This window comes from Homo sapiens, chromosome 12 (assembly GCF_000001405.40).
Source record: "Homo sapiens chromosome 12, GRCh38.p14 Primary Assembly".
In the NCBI taxonomy this organism is placed as follows: Eukaryota; Metazoa; Chordata; class Mammalia; order Primates; family Hominidae; genus Homo; species Homo sapiens.
Genome location: NC_000012.12, coordinates 49,860,685 through 49,883,088, shown reverse-complemented (window position 1 = coordinate 49,883,088; position 22,404 = coordinate 49,860,685). Strand labels below are relative to the sequence as shown.

Here is a 22,404-nt window from a genome sequence, read left to right as displayed (position 1 = left end):
TTCTCCAAACCCAGGGCCTCTGCACCTACCTCTGTCTGTTCTTAGGATCTGCTCACAGCCCTCTCTCCCATCCTTCAAGTGTGTGCAGCTCTGTCCCTCCCTCTTCCTCCCTACCCTATTTCCCTCTCTCTGTAGCGCATCTCATTCTGACACACTATGTATTTTTCTGATCTGTTGCTCATTGTCTGTCTCCCTCCAGCAGAATCTAAGTTCCTTAAGGACAGGGATTGTAGTCTGGCTTGTTCATCACTGCAGCCCCAGTGCCCAGAACAGGGCCTGGTACATAGTAGGTACCCAGGAGATGTTTGTGGCATGAACAGATCCCCAAGAGGTGTGGCAGGGGGCAGGGCCAGGCCCACGGAGGTACAATCAGAGCAAGGCAGAGGACGCACAGGCTATGTGGTTGAATTCAGCACTGCCCATCAGTCTTCTGTGAGTCACAGGGGAGGGGGAACTGCAGTGCCAATTATCTCATTAGGAGATCAACACTCCAAAAGGCCCTGGTCGGGATCATCCTGCAGATTATAGAAACAACAATGGAGAGCATGGGGCCAGTTCCCCTGGCTCCATCCCCTGCCGTGTTCATCTGCAGCTCCCCTGGGGCCCATGGGGCAGGGGAATGTTGATGAGAGGGGCTTTGGGACTCATTCCCTTACCTCCTCTCAGTTTCAGGTAGACGAAGGCCCTCGGAGGCCCAGCACCATAACTAAATCCCCTTACCCTCCCATTAGCTTGAACTCAGAAACATGCTGACCTCGTCCTGACCCTCAGGCCTGCGGACTCTGTGGTCCCCTAGCTCCAGCCTATCCCATAACTAGCACCCAGCACCCCCTGGTCTCTCGTCTGCCCATCCTGCCCTCTCCCACCGTAGCCTTTGGGGAATTCTCAGCACAGTGGGGGCCACTCCCAGCCCTGCAGCTGAGCAGAGCTGGACACAGCACACTGCATGCAGGTGTCCCTGGCACGTGTGTCGCCTCAAGGAGACTGTGCAAGAGTGGGGTGAAGAGAAGTGTAGGAGGAGGCCCCAGACCCCCAGGGGGACCCTCCCCTCAACTCCCACCAACCTGAGCTTTGGAAGCGCTGTGAGAATCCAGCTTCGAGAATCCGATTTCTCTCCCAGAAACATCAGCCCCTCTCTTGAGATTCTGCCATCTTTGAGGGCAGGCCGCCCAGTGGAAGGGGCAGCACCTGAGGGGGTGGCAGGCGAGGCGTCTCAGGGCTCTGGTCCAGCTTTGAGGAACAGGCCCCTCCTAGGCCTCACCCATGTCAGCCTTAGTACATTCTCAGGGAGCCTTGGGTTTTTGGTCTTACCCCTACCCCATATCCCTCACTGGATGCCAGACCCAAATATGCCAGTAGAAGTGGGTGAGCCAGCTGAACAGCCCTGACCTCAGAGTGGCCGAATCCTCCCATTCCCCCTAGTGCCCTCTCTTTGGGTGCTTTTCTGTAGAAACTCATGGAAAGTCGCACAGGAAGCACGAGGGTCGGGCGGGGCTGGCGTGATGGGGCAGGGAATGAGGTGGGGGCACATGCCTGCAGCTGGCTTCTAGCCGCAGCTGAGACTCCAGGGCCCATGGAACTTGGAGCAGGTTGCCCCATCTCAGAGTTGGTTCTTCCTTGGGGAAGCTAAGGTCTCTGAGCCCCCTAAATCAGGAGCCCAAGTCCCAGAGTCCTCGGGAAGGAATGAGGCATAGGACATTAGAAATTAGGTGATGGGCCCAATGGGAATAGACCTCTTCACTTCCTGCCCAGCCTGGCCAAATTGAGGACCTTGGGAGCCACTGACAGTTGCTAAGAAACATCACAGTTGTTGTGCTTTAAGGAAGATTAGTGAGAAGCTGAGTGGACAGACCAGAGGCTGGGAGACCAGTTAGGAGGTCACTGCAGTGTCCCAGAGCCGGGGTGGGTGGGGGCAGGGAGACTGTGCATGGTCAGTACTGGATGCTGCAAGCCTAATGGCATTTGGATGAGCAGAGCTGGGATAGGAAGATGCTCAGTAGGGATGCTGGACCTCCAGTTCCGATGTTGACCACTGACTATGGAGAGACATAATACAGCTATCTGTCCTCAGTCTCTGGAAGGAAAGCAGGGCTGAGACCTGGAGCCCTCAGAGCTGGCAGGGACCAGCCTGAGGCAGCTGCTGCTAAGCTGAGCATGCGCTGAAGCCAAGACAGCACATCCAGAGAGACACACACACACACACACACTCACATTCACGCATATACACACATGCATATCCATATACATACACTCACATAAACTCACATATACACACATAGCCACATGCACAAACACATATACATACACACTCATATACACACATACCCACATGCGCACACACACATGCACACATACACACACACATATACACGCATGTACACACATGGACTCACATGCATACACATGCACATATAGACACGCACACACATGCACTCACAGATACACATGCATATATATACACACATGCACATACACTCACATGCACACACATACACATGCACATATACACATGCACAGATACACACATGCACACACACGCATGCATACATACACACGCACATATACACATGCACATACACACTCATACACACACATACACATGCATACACATGCACTCATGCACACACACATACACATGCACATACACAAACATGCAGAGATATGCACATATACACATGCACATACATACACTCACATGCACACATAGACACACATACACATGCACATATACATACATGCACATACACAAACATGCACACAGACACACATACACATACACACATGCACATACACAGATACACTCATATGCATACATATACACATACGCACATATACACATGAACATACACATACACACATGCATGCACATATACACACATGCACACACACATGCACATATACACACATGCATACACACACATACACACATGCACACACATACACTCACATATACACACATTCACATGCACACACATACACAGACGCACATATACACACAGGCACACACATACACTCATGCACACAAATAAATACATATATACACATGCATATACACTCACATGCACACAGACACATACACACGCATATATGCACACATGCACATACACTCACATATACACACACATGCACATACAAGCGCACATATATACAAGGGCACATACATACACATATGCACACATATACACATGCACATACACATGCACACATACACATACACGTACATATACACATGAACATACATACACTCACACATGCACGCACATATACACATGCACATACACAGTCGTATGCACACATACACACATGCACATATATACACACGTGCACACACATACATGCATACACATTCACTCAGACACACACTTGCACATATACACACACACACACATGCACACAGACACAGATACACACATGCACACACTCACATATACACATTCACATGCCCACACATACACGCACATATACACACATGCACACACATACACTCGCATGCACACAAATACACATATACACGCACATATACATGCATGCACATACACCCATACACTCACATATATACACATGGACACACACACATGCACATACATATACACACATACACTCACATGCACATACACATGCACATATACACGTATGCACACACATATACACATGCACATACACACATACACTCACATGCACACTCACATGGACACATACCCACATACACATATACACACATGCACACACATGCACTCACATGCACACATAAACACATACACACGCACATATACACATGCACATGCATACACATACCCACACACATACACACATATACACATGCACACATACACACATGCACACACATGCATGCATACATACACACATGCACATACACACTCATACACATACATACACATGCATACACATGCACTCATGCACACACACATACACATGCACATACACAAACATGCAGAGATATGCACATATACACATGCACATACATACACTCACATGCACACAGACACATACACATGCACATATACATACATGCACATACACAAACTCATGCACACAGACACACACATACACATACACACATGCACATACACAGATACACTCATATGCATACATATACACATACGCACATATACACATGAACATACACACATGCATGCACATATACACACATGCACTCACACGCATACACATGCACATATACACATGCATACACACTCACATGCACAGACACACACATACACACATGCACACACATACACTCACATATACACACATTCACATGCACACATATACACACAGGCACACATACACTCATGCACACAAATAAATATATACACATATGCATATACACTCACATGCACACAGACACACACGCATATATGCACACATGCACATACACTCACATATACACACATACACACATGCACATACAAGCGCACATATATACAAGGGCACATACATACACATATGCACACATACACATGCACACATACACATACACATGTACATATACACATGAACATATACACTCACACATGCACGCACATATACACATGCACATACACAGTCATATGCACACATATACACACATGCACATACATATACACACATGCACACACACATACATGCATACACATTCACTCAGACACACACTTGCACATATACACACACATACACTCACATGCACACAGACACACACATATACACACATGCACATGCCCACATATACACACATGCACACACATACACTCACATGCACACAAATACACATATACACGCATGCACATACACCCATACACTCACATATAGACACATGGACACACACATGCACATACACTCACATATACACACATACACTCATGCACATATACACACAAGCACATACATACACATATGCACACACATATACACATGCACATACACACATACACTCATACACACACTCACATGCACACTCACATGCACACATACCCACATACACACATGCACACACATGCACTCACATGCACACATAAACACACATACACGCACATATACACATGCACATGCATACACATACCCACACTCACACATACACACATGCACATGCACACATACACATAAACACATACATGCACACATACACATACACACACATACGCACATATACACACATACAGATGCATACACTCACATGGACACATATACACACACATACCCACATACACATATATGTATACACTCACACACACATGCACACACCTACACACATATACGCACATAGACACACATACACATACGCACACTCACACACATATATACACATGCACACACATATACATACGCACATACACACGTATATATACAGGCACACACATACCCACATGCCGTGTGCGCGCACACACATACCATGACCAGCCTGGGCCAGACCCACAGCGTCCAAGGGATTTAAGAAAAATACTGCCGTCTACCCCAACCCCTCACCCTGCTTTTCTAGTGGGGATGGCGATATATGCCCTACCTTCCTCACAATTAGAAAAACACTTCGAAAAGTAAAAATGGCCACACAAATCCAAGGCTGAGGCATGACTTTTAGACTTATGTTCATTCCATTCAGAGCTTGAGGCCCATTTCTCGCAATGCGTTACATGAGGCTGAAGGAGCCAGTGAGAACCTTCTCTATTAGGTCGCCCACCCTCTGCCACTGAAACAGTCCCAATGCCTCCCCTGAGGCCTCCCCGACGCCCCACCCAGACAACCTGGAAGTGGCGTGGGTTCCTCTGGGCTGGGGTGGGTGGACTGATCAGTGATTGCTCCTTCAGGGGAGAGTGTGCAGGCCCCCTCCTGCGGCCTGCCTGTCTCATTCCTGAGGAGTTCATCCCCCAACCCACACCCTGCTCAAACCTGACAGGAGGAGGTGGAGAAGCCCTGGGGTGGGGGACTGAGGGAGGGGAGGCAGAGGCAGCTCCACACCTGCCTGGGGGCAGAAAGGAACTTCTGCTTCCATATCCAGGACCTGGTTCTTCAGAGCAGAGCCAGGAAGAGGCACTGGCACGGCCAGTAGGGTTGTGGAGTGGGGAGGGGGCTCTGCAGCTGGCCAGTGCCCCCCACCAAGTCACATTCAAGGCCTTGCTGCTCCTCTTACCATTCTGTGACCTTGTGCAAAATGACCTGACTGCTCTGTGCCTCACTGGCCTCATCTTTAAAATGGGGCTAACCTGCCTGTCTCACAGGCTGTTGTAATGGATGAATAGTGTAACAGATGAAGGGAAAACAGCCTCCTCACACTTGGCACATGGCAATTCTCAATCGATGACAGCTTTTACTCTTTTTTTTTTTAAATGGAGTCTCGCTCTGTCACCCAGGCTGGAGAGCAGTGGCTCAATCTCGGCTCACTGCAAGCTCTGCCTCCTGGGTTCACGCCATTCTCCTGCCTCAGCCTCCCGAGTAGCTGGGACTACAGGCGTGCACCACCACGCCCGGCTAATTTTCTGTATTTTTTTTTTTTTTAGTAGAGACGGGGTTTCCCCATGTTAGCCAGGATGGTCTCGATCTCCTGACATGGTGATCCGCCCGCCTCGGCCTCCCAAAGTGCTGGGATTACAGGCGTAAGCCACCGCACCCAGCCCAGCTTTTACTCTTATGGTAAATGATAACCTTGTCATTTAAATCACCAGATTTAGCCTGGCTTCAAAATCTGGTCATCTAAATGACAAGGTTATCATTCACTATAAGTATCAAAGCCCCTTCTCTGCCACATTCTAGCTGTGTGGACTCACCGAGTTATGTAACGTCTTTGTGCTTCAGTTTCCCTATCTGTAAAATGGGGACAAGAACAGTACCTTCCTCATAGGTGGCTGTGCTTTTGGATGCATTCATATATGTAAAGCACTCAGTGCCTGGTGTGTGGTCAATGATCAGTAACTCTTACCTGTTGGTAAGTTATCTGAGGTCTGAGCCAAGATTTGAACCCAGGTCTGTGTGACTCCCCAGCCTATGTTCTTAAGCACTGTATTATACTGGACTCATGCCCTTTCTCGTATGACCACACATGGCTCTTTCATACAAAATATTTTATTCCACTTACTGCCACAGGCTATTGATGCTTACCTTGCCTCCTGGTTCCTTTTTTTTGAGATGGAGTCTCACTCTGTCGCCCAGGCTGGAGTGCAGTGGTGTGATCTTGGCTTACTGGAACCTCCGCTTCCCGGGTTCAAGCGATTCTCCTCCCTCAGCCTCCCAAGTAGCTGGGATTACAGGTGCCCACCACCACGCCTGGCTAACTTTTGTATTTTTAGTAGAGACGGGGGTTTCATCGTGTTGGCCAGGCTGGTCTCGAACTCCTGACCTCAGGCGATCCACCCACCTTGGCCTCCCAAAGTGCTGGGATTACTGGATGAACCACCGCACCTGGCCCACTTTTTAAAAAGTTGATAGATAATCGTGTGTCATTAATACACTTTCATACACTACCCCCCTTTCATCCTGGGCCAGGCTTTTTGATTCGAATGCCTGCCAGACCCTGTTCCTTTGGTGGCCCTCCTGGGGGTGCAAATGTTGTCTGTGCCATCTAAATTTTTGACATCCAGGTCAGTGGAGAGAAGTATCTTCTATTGGTATCAGGCAAGAAATGGGCCCCAGATCTCCACTCAGTGGTCTCTCTTCACTCCCTCACCCCCTCACCCTCTCCTGCAGCCCAGTCGGCGCACCTGGACATATGGCTGGTAGTCTCTTCTCCAGAGACTCCCCAAAGCCCAAGCTCACCCTCTAGCTGTCCCTGGGCTGGGTGATGCGGGCAAGTCACTTACACTGTCTCTGCCTCAGTGTCCTTAGCAAATGGTGGAGCTGATAGTGCGACACCTGCCGCAGAGGCTTATGGTGAGAATTCAGTGAAAGAGTTCACGAACTCTTCTTTTGTGCTATTTTAACCCTTCTATTTTAAACTTCTAATTATATAATATGTGAATACATTTATTCACATATTTCACTTTTGGAAAATCTTAAATATAGAAAAAAGCAAATGTCACTTTGATCGTGTCCCTCACTGCTTTCCCCAGCAGGAACCATGAATTATCTCTCCTTCCAGACCTTTCTTTATGCATTTCATAGATATTTGCTATGTGCGCTCCTCTGACGTGTATAGTTTTATGGGATCATACGATATAGATTTTTCACAACTTGCTTTTTTCTCACAGTAGCGTCTGTCACAGATGTTTCCACCTCAGCACTGCTGCCCAGAGTTTATTTAACCACCCCCGTGTTGGTAGAGTTTGGGTTGTTTCAGCATCTCACTGTTAGAACCAATGCTGTAAACAACAGCCTGGGGGTTGCCTCCACACGCCCTCACACTGGCATTTATGCAGGACAGACACAGTCCACGTGGCACTGTTTATGCTGATACAACACATTGCAACCCCAGCTTTTTGTATTCAGTGCCTGCCTGCGGGTGGCTCTGAGCTGGCCTTTCCATGGCATGCACTGCCCAGAGCCCCTCAGCGTCACCTCTGGGGCCACATTCAGGGAGGACAACGGACATAAGCCTGGGCCCCAGATATGGCAGGGTCAGGCCAAATGTGTGGCTGGGGTCCCCGGCCAGGTTTAGCACTGGCCAGTAAAGTGAGGCGGGGAAGTTTGCCTTTGGCACCTGTGCCCTCTGCACATGCTCCCTCCCTCCCTGCAAGCCCACTCCTCCCCTATCTCCACCAGCATAGGAGACGGCACTCGATAAGCAGCCATCAGCAAGTCACTCAGCTCTCAGACTCCTTTCCTCATGTAAGACCATGAGGACGCCCACCTCCCAGGGCAAATGGGGAGAGGGAGATGAGATCAAGTGTTGGTCTGGGGAAGGACTCTTCAGATGTAAGTTAATAGCGTCCTTGTCCCAGGGGGCCTCCTGCCCCATCCCATGTGCTCCTCCTGCAGAGTCTCCTGTTCAGCTGAACACTAACTCAAGTACCTGCCCTCCTTTTAGGGGTTTGCAGTCAATTCGGTTGCTAGCTCTCAGCCAAGATCCTAGCTACCCACTAAGATGTTAACTATAACCAAGATACCTGCTCTCAACCAAGACATTAGTTAACAATGCTTTCCATCTCCAAGGAGATAGCAGCAGATGACTTTCCCCTGTAAATCAATGCACTGCCATGCAGAATCTCTGATCATGTCTTTTGCCCTCATTAGACTGTCAGTTCTATGAGGGCAAGTTCTCTGGAATATAGTAGGTGCTCAGCAAATATTGTTGGGAATAAATCGATGAAAAGACTTTGTTTGACTCACAGGCATCAGGTGGCAGTGATGGGTCATACTGGTCAGTGGGGTTGAAATTTGAAGCAGGCCATCCCAGAGAACACCACATAGATAAGCATCTGTGGCTATGGACCAAGGGCTGGGGCAGAAATCATTTCATTCCTCTTCTCTCCAAGAGAAAAGCCAGCTGGCTGCTCTAGGGGGTCTCCTGCGTGGGTGCTTCTCAGAAGGGCCACCCCCAGAGCTGGACAGATCCAAGCCTTCCAAGTTAAGAGACTCCATTTCATTAGCTCACCCAGGGGTGACCAGGCTCTGGGAAACCAACCAAGCAAGCTACTGATTGAACAGCCAGATCAGCAGTTTATGAACTGATGCTGGCAGCTGTGACTGCCAAGTGGCCCAAAGCATTTGCACTGGGCCTTCTGCTTGCTCATTCTCTCTGCAGAAGGAAAATGTGCTTGGGAATCCAAATCAAACACAGAAGGAGCAGAGCGGAATGGAGAGAAATCATACTCAAAAATACAAATAGTGGATGCCACATACACTGTCATAAATCTACCCTCAAAACCACACCGTGGTGTGGGCATTGCTACTATCCCACTTTGTAGATGAGGACACTGAGGTCAAGTGGATGACTTGGCTACTGAGCAATGGAGCCGGGTCTCAAACCCAGGCATTTCAACTCCTGTTCCTGTCTGGAGTGCCCTTCCCTCAGTGCCACTGAGCTCAGGAGACTGACGCACCCCGTGCAGGGCTCCTCTCAGCCCTGGCCATGGCTCCCCATTTTCGCTGTGTTAAGGCCACTCAGCTCCCCAAGGAACAGTGCTGCCTCCCTGATGAGATGCAAGAGACACCTGAGTCTCATCAGTAGCACGTGCATGTCCTCAAGAGGGCACCTCTCCTTCTGCAGATAATAACAATGAAACCACATTAATATAATAGCAAGCATTCATTAAGTGCTTACTATGTGTCAGGCACCACGCCAGGCCCCTTGCATGCATTATCTCATTCTCACAACAACCTCAGGAGGCAGGCACGCTCATCTCCCTTTTACACATAGGGACTCACAGGCCTAGAGAGATTAAATGCTCTGCCCAGGTCCTACAGCTAATGAGTGGTAGAGCAGAGCCTGCAGTCCAAGTGGATCTGACTTTCAAGCCTGTGCTCATAATTGCCCCCACCTCCTCACCTTTGACGGTGGCCCTGCCTCAATGTCCCATGTGCTGGAATTGCTCCCTGTTGGAGCCCTGGCCTCTTGGGCCTGCCGGGGGGAGCATTGCACCAGGGCTGGGATTCGACTAGGATTCTACAGGGCTGCGTCTATAGCAACTCTAAAGTCTGGGTCTTGGGAGACAAGGAGTCCATGGCGGAGGTGAAGGAAAGGGAACTGGGCATGACCCCTGTCTACCAAGCAGAGTGCAAGCTGCAAGGGCAAGCCCCAATCCCTTCCTCCTCTATCCACTTCTCCCATAGTTCCTGCCTCACCGAGTTCCCCACTCTTCACACAACACCAGTCAGGCCTCCCAGGCTTCCCTAGGCCTTCCCAGCTAGCAAACTCCTACTTAAGCCTCAGGTGAAATGCCACCTCTCCTGGGTCACCTTCCTCTGGCCCAATTAGTAGCTCCTTCCTTCATAGTCCTAATTGTGCATTTCCTGGGTTTTCTTGTAATGACCTATAAGTGTCCCCCATGACGCTGCGAGCTTCCCCAAGGCAGGCACGGCTTTGTGTTTCTCGTCTCTTTTGCTCTTAGCAAGTCCCTGTCATGCAGCTGTTGCCCCATACATATTTATTGTATGATGAATGAGTTTCAGAGGACCCAGGGAACATGCCTTTCATACACAAGTGACTGAAGAGCCCAGTTAACAAGAATGTGAATCAATGTAAAAGAATTCTAATCCCGGGCTGGGCCTGGTGGCTCATGCCTGTAACCCCAGCACTTTGAGAGGCCGAGGCGGGCAGATCACCTGAGGTTGGGAGTTCAGGACCAGCCTGACCAACATGGAGAAAACCCGTCTCTGCTAAAAATACAAAATTAGCTGGGTGTGGTGGCACATGCCTGTAATCCTAGCTCCTCGGGAGGCTGAGGCAGGAGAATCGCTTGAGCCTGGGAGGTGGAGGTTGCAGTGAGCTGAGATCACGCCATTGCACTCCGACCTGGGCAACAAGAGCGAAACTCTGTCTCAAAAAAAAAAAAAAGAAAAGAAAAGAAAAGAAAAAAAATTCCAATCCCACGTGGATCAGTGCTTCATCACCTTTGAGATACTGGTGGACTTTTTGGCCTCTTTCTCCAGAAAAGCGCACCACGCCTGCCAAATTTCATATGCTACTTAAGGGTTCTGCTCTTTAGGCTTGGAGCCCAGAGGAAAGCTACATGGCAAAGGGTAGGAGCCACTGTATACAGTGGGCAGGCCTGGCAGGGGCAGGGGGGTGACACAGCGCTGTCTCAGAGGGAATCTGTTCCTAGTCCATTAGGCCAAGCAGGGCCCCAGGGAAGAGCCTGTTTCCTGGGAGGAAAGGCATTAACCCCGGGTGCTGTTAGCAGCAGGGCAGAATGTTTACACCTGGGGCTCCGAAGCCGGCCTGCTCAGGTTGAAATCTTGGCTTTGCCACTTTCCAGCTGTGTAACCTTTAGCTAATATTTAAGGTCTCTGGGCCTCGCTTCCTGTAGGAAGAATCGGATTCTTATTTGATGGGGATGTCGGTAGCACTGATGGGCTGTCAGTACAGCACAAGTGCCCGGGCCCTGCTTGTACCTGAAGCGTTTGCCTTCCTCTGAGAGCAGGGTCCGGAGGGAATGGCAAGAAGACTAGGCCTCAGCTTGAAGGTCCCCTCTCCCAGGAAGCCTTCCCTAACTTCCTGCCACACTCACATAGGTGAGGCTCCTTGTTATCAGCCCCACTGCTGCCTGGAACCTTGTTATACTCATCATCCTAACAATTACTTCCTCTAGACTCTAAGCTCTGTGAGGACAGGGATCCCGGCTGTCTTGTTCTCTGCTGTATCCCTGTGCCTAGCACATAGCAGGTGCTCAGTAAATAGCTGCTGAATAGAATTAGGGACAGAAGGTGTCACAGGAGGGCCACTGGGTAGTCAGGCAGCTGGTGAGGGTAATAAAATTGGGGGTGGGGCTGAGGGGGACACCTGGGCTGCCATAGTCAGTGTCACACTGCCTGGGCCTCTGACCTCTCTCTCTCTCTCCTCACTTCTCCCAGTTCCTGGCACTTGACACCCAGTTGCTGATGGGTAACCGACGCCACTCGCTGAGCCCTGAGGAGTATATTTTTGGAGCCCTCAACATTTACCTAGACATCATCTATATCTTCACCTTCTTCCTGCAGCTTTTTGGCACTAACCGAGAATGAGGAGCCCTCCCTGCCCCACCGTCCTCCAGAGAATGCGCCCCTCCTGGTTCCCTGTCCCTCCCCTGCGCTCCTGCGAGACCAGATATAAAACTAGCTGCCAACCCAGCCTGTGGCCAGGTCACTGTCTACCCCAGCCCAGCCCAGCCCTCTGCCGCTTGTACATACGCCATGGGGACCCTGAGGAACTGAGGCCACGTCAATCCCTGTGCCGCCCCATTCGCCCGTTACATCTTCCAAACTGGGACGGTCAAGGCTGAAGGCTCCTCTGGGTTTGAGGGTCCAAGGGACAAGGAGGAGAAGCCTAGCAGGATTTCAGATGCAGGAGAGAGACCCAGGAAGCCCGGCAGAGCCCTGAGCCCCACTGCAATTCCTCCTAGGGCTGCACAATCATGTGGCCTTAGGGCACACTGTCCTGCATCCAGTCTGTGTCCTCCTGTCTTTCTCATCCAGGTCAGGCATTGACACTTTGTAAGAAAGGGGGTAGGGGACACAGCTGGGCAGGTGGAGTGGGTGGGCAGGATGGCTGTCCCAGTCTGCCCATCTTCTCTTGGCTCTGGGACCAGCGGCTTGTTCTAGGGATTTGGACCTGGAGGCCAAGGGCAATAGGAGAGGGTCTGAAGCCTGTGCTGTCTGCTGCTTGCTGTGAATGGCCCTCCCGGGTCATGACAGAGCTCTTTTGGGGCAGGAGGTGAGGGCAGGGGGCCCCGCTCCTTGGTAAGGGCCTGCCCTGGGGCTCCCAGGGAAGTGGGAGCTGGGGAGCCAATCCACCCAGACCCGCGTCCACCTGGGAGGCATTTGGGGTTGCAGGACCGAGACCCACATCCTCTCACTCACTTCTCCACCCGCCAGGCAGCTGCCACAGGCCTAAGGCTGAGTGAGGTGTGATTGGGCCCTCCGGCTGGATGTTCTGGGGGAGGAGGCAATCGCTGTAGCTGCCAGGCCAGCCCCATCTGGAAGGAGTCCCTGCTCTGCCTCAGCCCTAACCCGAGGCTGTGTGGGAGTCCCTTCTGCACCTCTTATTTCCTAAACCCTTCCTGTCAGCTGCTGTTTGCTGGCTCGTCCCCAGCCAGGCCTCCTGAGGTCTTCATAGTTGGCACAGTCCACATCTCTTCTAGCTTCACTGGCCACTCACTCAGCCCAGAGTCCCTAAGTGCTCCCCCACTTATCTCTGCATCTCTCCAATTTGGAAGCCATCCAGCTGATGCTAACAGCCAGGGCCAGTCCCTCCAGCTGGTCCCATGTAATGAGGCCAGGGCTCCTTATCAGCTTCCAGGCGGCTGGGATCTCAGGCAGGGTGTGCGTCAGCCCTCCAACCCCCAGAGGGGCGCCTGTGGGGAGGGAACCAGGAGGCCACACTGGGGGAGCGTGCAGCCAGCATGTGCAGTGGCCAACTCCAGGCCAGTGGAAAGTTACTGTGTGGATACAGGAAGGCTCTGAGTGGCTAGCAGGACCCTCCCTTGGCTTCGCCCTCCTCCTCTTCTCTCTCCCCTGTGCTGGGAGCTCCGTCTGCCTTGGGAAGGGAGACGAGGTGTGCTGTTCCTTCCCAGCCCCATCCCTCCCCACCCTTCCTACTCCCAGCTTTCAAGAAACATTGCAGAAGCATTTGAAGTTTTGTTCCATCTTGGATATTTGAAGAGAAAAGGAGCCAAGAACTGGCGGGTGGTGTGTGTGCAGCAAAGGCATTGGGGGCACGGGTGAGATGCCCACTGTGTGCTGGTCTAAATTAATCCATCGCAGTGATCCTCCAGAGACAGCGCTCTGCTCATGTCCGTAGCAGAGGGAAAAGCCGAGGTGCTCAGAAAGGCTCGGTAATGAGTCCCAGGTCATACGGCTAGCGAGTGGCGGGCCTGGGGTTCAGACCCACAGCTGCCTCAAGCAAACAGGGTATCACGCTTGCCCCTGGGCCTGGGTGGGGGCCGGAATGAGACCACATGAGAGCGCAGAGAGGTGGGTGGTCAGGCCCTGATGTCCTGGGGATTTCTTGTCCTCAGTGCCACCCGGCCTCCCGTCTTTCCTGAAACCCCTCGCCAGATTTTGCACTCTGAGGTTTCTATCTTCCAGACAAGAGCTGGGAGGCAAGATTTCTGGTTTCTGGTTCCTAGCCTCACTGCCAGCGGGCTCCTGCTATTAGGTGAGGGTTTCTTGCTGTCTGGAATTCAGTTTTTCCATCTGCCACATGGAAGTTCATAGCCAGGATAGGGCGGGAGAGGCACCAGAACATTTCTCTCCACTGACTTTCTCACCCGGTTCCCACCCTCCTCCACCTCCTCTCCTCCGGGCCCCTCAGTTTCCTCTCCTCATCTCTGGCCTCAGTTCCAGAGGGTTAGCCCCAGCACCCCACTCTCCTGCCACTGTCAGATAGCCTTGGTCATGCTTCCTAGAATCTACTTGTCCAAGTTCTCCTCTCCCTGGGATAAGTTACTGCAGAAACTGGGGATTTAGAAGCTTATTCAGGGCTGAGTGCCAAAAGCTTGGGGGAGGAGGGACAGGTCCTCGGCAATAAACAGTGTCACACACGCATCACAGCCATTTGAGAAATGGCTTCTTTGCAGAGCTGGGGAAGCCGGGCAGAAGATGCCGCAGCCTCCTACTCTGGGTCCTGAGGGGGGGTGGCAGGTACCACAGTGTAGGCAGCAGGGTCAGGGCCAAAGTCTATGCGTTCCATCTCCAATCCAGGCAGTGAGGAATCCTGAAACACCAGGAGAGGCGTCAGAAGTAGGAAGGGCAGGGGAACAGGAATGCAAGATTAAGGAAACCGCAGCTGAGCAGGTGTCACAAGCTGTAAAGGAGGAAGGGAGTCTGCAGGCCCTTCACATTTTTGGCCTGGGTGGGGCTGGGCCCAGGAAGGGGTGGGCTGGATTTTGTAAAGCTGGAGGCAGCCAGGAATCTGACTGTCCGGAATGTGAGTTGAGGGGTCTCCCACTGAAGTCCTCTTCTGGAAGCTGCAGATGGGGGCCCGGGAGGCACACACGAGTCTGGGACTCATTCCCGGGCACACCTATGGCTCCTTCGGTATCACCTGGGGAAGCCCCGGAATCTTAGTTCTTCCATTCCCTACTCTTCCTTCCGAGGGAGTCAGGATGGGACAGACACCCATTTTCCAAAAGGCTCCTTGCCTCCTTCCCTGGCCCACCTGAAGCCAAGTCCCAGGTGTCCTGGCTGCTCTCCTGGGCGGGGTGGGATTTTTGCATAAGCACTTTGCTGCCCTCCAGTGGCTGCTTGAGGAAACGCAGGGCCTGGTTTGGGAGAGTCACCGAGGGCCCATGTGGCTGGAGGTTGGGGGCAGGATCTGGCCCGAGCTCTCCTCAGACCTCCCCAGACCTGTCTTCTCATCAGCCACCGCTGTTTTCTTTTGCCGAACGATGGTTGCATCTCTCGGACACAGTGTACCCCCTCCCAAGCCCTCCCTGAGCCGTTCTCCTGAGTCCCTGAGGGCAGACACAGCTCCAGGGACCCAGGCCAGCTGCCACACCCCCGACACTCCTGCTGTCCACTGGCCTTAGCTCCTGCAAGTTCCCCAGTGTCCGCACCTGTTCCCTTCCCTGACCTCACCTTCCTGGGGTCTGTGACTGACTGGAGATAAAAATAAAAGCAATTGTGACACCTGAGTTGTTTCCCTCGTCTGCCGTGTGCTGGTTGCCTCAGATGGTCGTGGAGTCTGTGTGGGTCAAACCCGGACCTGTGTGAGAGCCTTCTCACCAGAGCTGCTGAGTTTGAAGTAAATCTCCATGTTTATTTTCATGTGGACAGGGTTAAATTGGTTCTCCTGCTCAATAAACCCTTTACGGAGGCTCTCAGGATCCCGGAGTTAGAAGCAATCCCAGAGTCTCCTCCGGAACAGGGGCTCACCCCTTTCTGTGGAAGCCTGTCCGTTTGTGGGCCGTTCTGGTAGAAGGGTCTTTCTTATTTTGAGCCAAAATCTGCTTCCTAAAAGGTACACAGAAGGAAGGAATGCCTGGGTTGCATCTGGACAGATTGTCCAGAGCGGCAGCTTTAAAACCACAGAACCTTGGCTGGGCTCAGTGGCTCACGCCTGTAATCCCAGCACTTTAGGAGGCCGAGGTGGGTAGATCACCTGAGGTCAGGAGTTCGAGACCAGCCTGGCCAACATGGTGAAACCCTGTCTCTACTAAAAACACAAAAATTAGCTGGGCGTAGTGGCGCACACCTGTAATCCCAGCTACTCAAGAGACTGAGACGAGAATCGCTTGAACCCAGGAGGCGGAGGTTGCAGTGAGCCAAGCTTACACCACTTCACTCCAGCCTGGGCGACAGAGCAAGACTCCGTCTTAAAAAAAACAAAACAAAACAACAACCCTACAGAACCAAAGCTCCTTGAAGGCAGAGTTATGACGCACGGTCTCAGTAAACAACTTACTAGCGAATGGAGGAATGCATAGGTGAATGTGTCTACTCCAACCCTCTTATTTTACCTGAGAGGAAACTAAGGAGCAGAGGGTGCAGCGATTTGTCCAAGTTTACGCACAAATTAACGACTGGAAGTGGGGTCAGGAGGCGCATGGGTTAATGATCACCCCACAAGCTCCTGTGGGGAATGTGGGGCCAGGGCGCTGTGTGGGAGGGGAGGGAACGCCATCACACTGGAGCCATGGGGGACGTTATCCTTGTCTCTGACAAGGTTAGGACACAAATTCAGCTGGAGTAGGGAAAGTGGCTGGGGCAAGAGTTAGAGGACTCTGAGGAGAGAAAAGTGACTTTTATTAAGCGCTCACTGCATACAAAGCACTTCCACAGATTGTGAGAGATAGGACAGGGAGAAGATACCAACGGTGGTGCAAGAGAGAAACCAGGCACTGTGGCTCGAGACCGTGCAGCCGTGGGTCCTGAGAAGATGCAGCCCCACCGGGGAAGCAGTGCTGAGCCGTGTCGCCGGGGAAAGGGAAGATCCCTGGATCAGGGCTCAAAGTGTGCAAAATGTTGAGGGGCAGGGGCTGGTGTGATGGAAGGGATGAATGGTCTAGGTTGGGGTACACGCTGGGCCCCCTTGCCACCCCCTGCCTCCAGATCCCTTCTGCCTCACCACCCATTCTTACCTGGACTGCCTGTTAGCTTTCCTAGGACTGCCATACAAATTGCCACAAACTGGGTGGCTCAAAACAACAGTGATTCATTTCACCACAGCTGTGGAGGCTGGAAGCCTGAAGCCAAGGTGTCAGCAGGGTGGGTTCCTGCTGGAGGCTCTGAGGGAGGGCCTGTGGCAAGCACTTTCCAAGCCTCTGGCAGCTGCAGGTGATCCGCAGTGTTGCTTGGCAATGGCGCCTCCAGTCTCTGCCTCCATCTTCATATGGCCTTCTCCTCTGTGTCTCTGTGTCTTGAAGCTCCCTCTCCGTCCTCCTAGAAGGATACCTGTCTCTGGATTTAAGGCTTACAATAAATCTAGGATGATCTCATCTCAAGATCTTTATTTGGAAAAAGATCCTATTTCCAAAAAAGGTCACATTCACAGGTACAGGGGTTTAGAACTTGGACATATCTCTCTTGAGGGGGCCCCTATTCAACCCTTTACACCATTCATTCTCTTCTGGCTGCTACTGCCCCGTGGTGGCCTCTGTACGCATCCCCCACCCATGGGACAGTCTTCACATACAGTACCCAGCCCCCAGTGAGACTGGAGAAATCCCAGAGCTGAGCAACCTCATCCAGCTCACTTATACCATCTGTCTTTACTCAAGTCTGGCTACTCCCAGCAAACCTGTTTGCCCTCACAGATTTTGTGTGTGTGCCTGCACACACACACATGCACATGCGTGTGTGCGCACACACACACACCACGGATGGCTAAGATGCTTTCTTCCCAGCTTCTCATCCTCCACTCCCCTCCACACTCTCTGCTTGCTTTATCTGGGGAAACCCTGCCAAAAGGAGTGAGTCTCGCCTGTCCCGCATCACTGCTGTCCCCCTGTTGGCTTCTTTTTCTCCTGAGCCACTATGTAAGAAGTCAAATTTCCCGAGGCTGCCATGCCAGAGAGGCCACGTGTGGTGCTCCAGCCAAGAGACCCAGCTGAGCCAGCCTCCCAGCCACGCCTGCCAGGCTGGCAGCTGTAGGCAGGAAGAACCATCCTGGAAGTGGATTCTCCAACTTCAGCTGTTCCAGCTCCTGTGCACCCAGTCTTCCTGGTTGAGGTCCAAGACCTCATGGAGCATTAAAAATCCATCTCCTCCATGCCCTATCCAAATTCCTAATCCACAGAATCCGTGAGAATAATAAAATGGTTGTGGTTTTATGCCACTAAGCTTGAAGTCATTTGCTATGCAGCAACAGATGCCTGGAACAGGATTTGGTACCTGGAAGTGAGGCACTGCCGTAGCAGAACCTAACGTGTGTGGGAGGCGCCTGACACCCTCAGTGAGACCGTGCGTGAAAGCTGGCAGGGCCTTGAGGAGACTGCGGGCGAAGGCTCCAGGGAAAGTTGAGCGAAACATTACTGGAATCTGGAGGAACAGAGACTCTGATATAGTGGTGGACAGTTGAGTGAAACTTTCATCTGTGCTAATGTGAAAGATAAAAAAGGTCTAATTAACTGATGACTCTGGCTAGGATTTTCAGGCAGTGTTGAAAGTGTGTTTGGCTTATTTGAGCCTTGCATCCTAAGATACAGATAGTGAGAAAAAAGCTAAAGAAAGAATTATTCTGTTTTTTAAGCAGAATTTGGAGGAGATATAAAAAGCCCAGGATAATCTTTCCAGCCAAGGAAGAATTGTCAAAGTAATAAAAAAGCCTTGGGGCAAAGATCAACTCCAGAGCACTGTCAGGAACACACAGTCTCTGGGTAAAGATGAAGTCAAAGCTATGACTGTGAAAGCAGTCATTAAGCATCAGAAAGATCTAAGCGGGTGCCTCAATCCTTCAGACAGGCAGAAGTACTCCTAAGGATCCCACAGGCATTTGTTGCAGACCCACTCTGTTAAACAATCGGACTTCTAAGGATCTTTTCCCCCCAACAAATCCACTTTTATTTGTTGACTTTTCATTAGTTGAAACCCTTGAGGGGTACAGCATCACTCAGATTCTGTGTCCAGTGGGCTTAGCAGGAAGATTGTTTCGGAATTTGGCACGAACCTTGCCACTGTTTCCGTGGGCCCTAGTTACCTTTCCCCAGACTACTCTGGTTTTGTTTGGTTTGCTACCAGGAGTCACTGTGGTGTCCTTTGCTTTGTATACATAAGCACATCTCTTGCCCAAATAGAATTCTGTTTCATCTCGGGCATAAACCACCTTCAATTTTAAGAACTGCTGTGTGCTCCCTTTGATTCCAGAGACTGTGCTTATAGTCAGCAAAAATGGCCTTGGACCACAGCCTTCCAGACATATTTCCTTTTAGAAGTCCTGCTCCCAGCAGGCCTCCACAGGATTCAAGATGGCAGGAAGAGAAAGACCTTCTAAGGATCTTAAGGATATTATTCCTCTGCAGCCTCACTGGGTACCCAAGATAGAGAAGGCCTTGTCTTAAAGAGACTTATCAGTGTGATTTTTGTCTAATGGAATAATCCTCCAATAAGATTCATAGAGACCAGGTGCAGTGGCTCACGCCTGTAATCCCAGCACTTTCAGAAGCTGTGACAGGAGGATCACCTGAGGTCAGGAGTTTGAGACCAGCCTGGCCAACATGGTGAAACCCTGTCTCTACTAAAAAATACAAAAATTATCCAGGCTTGGTGGCACATGCCTGTAATTCCAGCTACTCAGGAGGCTGAGGCAGGAGAATCGCTTGAACCCAGGAGGCGGAGGTTGCAGTGAGCTGAGATCAGGCCATTGCACTCCAGCCTGGGTGACAGAGCAAGACCCTGTCTCAAAAAACAAAAAACTTAGCAGCCACTAAAAATGAGGACATGGGTAAATATTTACATACAGAATCACAGTACTGAATAATATTAAATTAGAAAGCAAATTATGAAGCATTAATATTGAGTATAATCCCATTTTTTATTTTTAAAAATATCTTTGATGGCTCTTCCTTATAGTAAAATGCCAACTAGTAGATGAAGAAGTAATGATAGAAAAATCACCATTTTGCAATACAGTAATGATTCAGTCAAGAATCATCAATGGATGCTAAAACTCTTAGGTGCAAGTTTGATAGGGAACAGAATATTGATATAGTTTAAACATGCCTCCACACAGACTTCTTTTTTCTTTGTGTTTGTTTTTAGTTTTTGTTTTTGTTTTGAGACACAGTCTCACTCTGTTGCCCAGGCTGGAGTGCCCTGGCACGATCTCGGCTCACTGCAACCTCCACCTCTCAGGTTCGAGCAATTCTCCTGTCTCAACCTCCCGAATAGCTGGGACTACAGTCGTCCGCCACCAAGCCCTGCTAATTTTTGTATTTTTAGTAGAGATGAGATTTCACGATGATGGTTAGACTGGTATCAAACTCCTGACCTCAGGTGATCCATCTGCCTCGGCCTCCCAAAGTGCTGGGATTACAGGCATGAGCCACCGTGCCCGGCCTTTCTTTGTGTTTAAACAGCTTTATTTTATTTATTTATTTATTTATTTTTTTAATTGATCATTCTTGGGTGTTTCTCGCAGAGGGGGATTTGGCAGGGTCATAGGACAATAGTGGAGGGAAGGTCAGCAGATAAATAAGTGAACAAAGGTCTGTGGTTTTCCTAGGCAGAGGACCCTGCGGCCTTCCACAGTGTTTGTGTCCCTGGGTACTTGAGATTAGGGAGTGGTGATGACTCTTAACGAGCATGCTGCCTTCAAACATCTGTTTAACAAAGCACATCTTGCACTGCCCTTAATCCATTTAACCCTGAGTGGACACAGCACATGTTTCAGAGAGCACAGGGTTGGGGGTAAGGTCACAGATCAACAGGATCCCAAGGCAGAAGAATTTTTCTTAGTACAGAACAAAATGAAAAGTCTCCCATGTTACTTCTTTCTACACAAACACGGAAACCATCCGATTTCTCAATCTTTTCCCCACCTTTCCCCCCTTTCTATTCCACAAAACCGCCATTGTCATCATGGCCCGTTCTCAATGAGCTGTTGGGTACACCTCCCAGACGGGGTGGTGGCCGGGCAGAGGGGCTCCTCACTTCCCAGTAGGGGCGGCCGGGCAGAGGCGCCCCTCACCTGCCGGATGGGGCGGCTGGCTGGGCGGGGGGCTGACCCCCACCTCCCTCCCGGACGGGGCGGCTGGCCGGGCGGGGGGCTGACCTCCCCACCTCCCTCCCGGACGGGGCGGCTGGCCGGGCAGAGGGGCTCCCCACCTCCCAGTAGGGGCGGCCGGGCAGAGGCGCCCCTCACCTCCCGGATGGGGCGGCCAGCCGGGTGGGGGGGCTGGCCCCCCACCTTCCTCCCGGTCGGGGCGGCTGGCTGGGCGGGGGGCTGACCCCCCCACCTCCCTCCCGGACGGGGCGGCTGCCGGGCGGAGACGCTCCTCCCTTCCCAGACGGGGTGGCTGCCGGGCGGAGGGGCTCCTCACTTCTCAGATGGGGTGGCTGCCGGGCGGAGGGGCTCCTCACTTCTCAGACGGGGTGGTTGCCAGGCGGGGGGTCTCCTCACTTCTCAGACGGGGCGGCTGGGCAGAGACGCTCCTCACCTCCCAGACGGGGTCGCGGCCGGGCAGAGGCGCTCCTCACATCCCAGATGAGGCGGCGGGGCAGAGGCGCTCCCCACATCTCAGACGATGGGCGGCCGGGCAGAGACGCTCCTCACTTCCTAGATGGGATGGCGGCCGGGAAGAGGCGCTCCTCACTTCCTAGATGGGATGGCGGCCGGGCAGAGACGCTCCTCACTTTCCAGACTGGGCAGCCAGGCAGAGGGGCTCCTCATGTCCCAGACGATGGGCG

The 22,404-nt window shown here is 51.5% G+C and overlaps 1 protein-coding gene and 1 pseudogene across 2 annotated transcripts in view; one reads left to right on the top strand and one right to left on the bottom strand.

Moving 5' to 3' along the window:
• FAIM2 (Fas apoptotic inhibitory molecule 2) overlaps nucleotides 1–16,193 on the top strand; it is a 37,005-nt gene extending 20,812 nt beyond the window's left edge. For both annotated transcript variants that reach the window (NM_012306.4, XM_005268730.4), the window contains one exon: nucleotides 12,436–16,193. In NM_012306.4, the coding sequence (NP_036438.2) occupies nucleotides 12,436–12,585 (150 nt within the window). In that variant the 3' untranslated portion in view covers nucleotides 12,586–16,193. The remainder of the gene's footprint in view (nucleotides 1–12,435) is intronic.
• RPL35AP28 (ribosomal protein L35a pseudogene 28) lies at nucleotides 19,548–19,979 on the bottom strand (annotated as a pseudogene).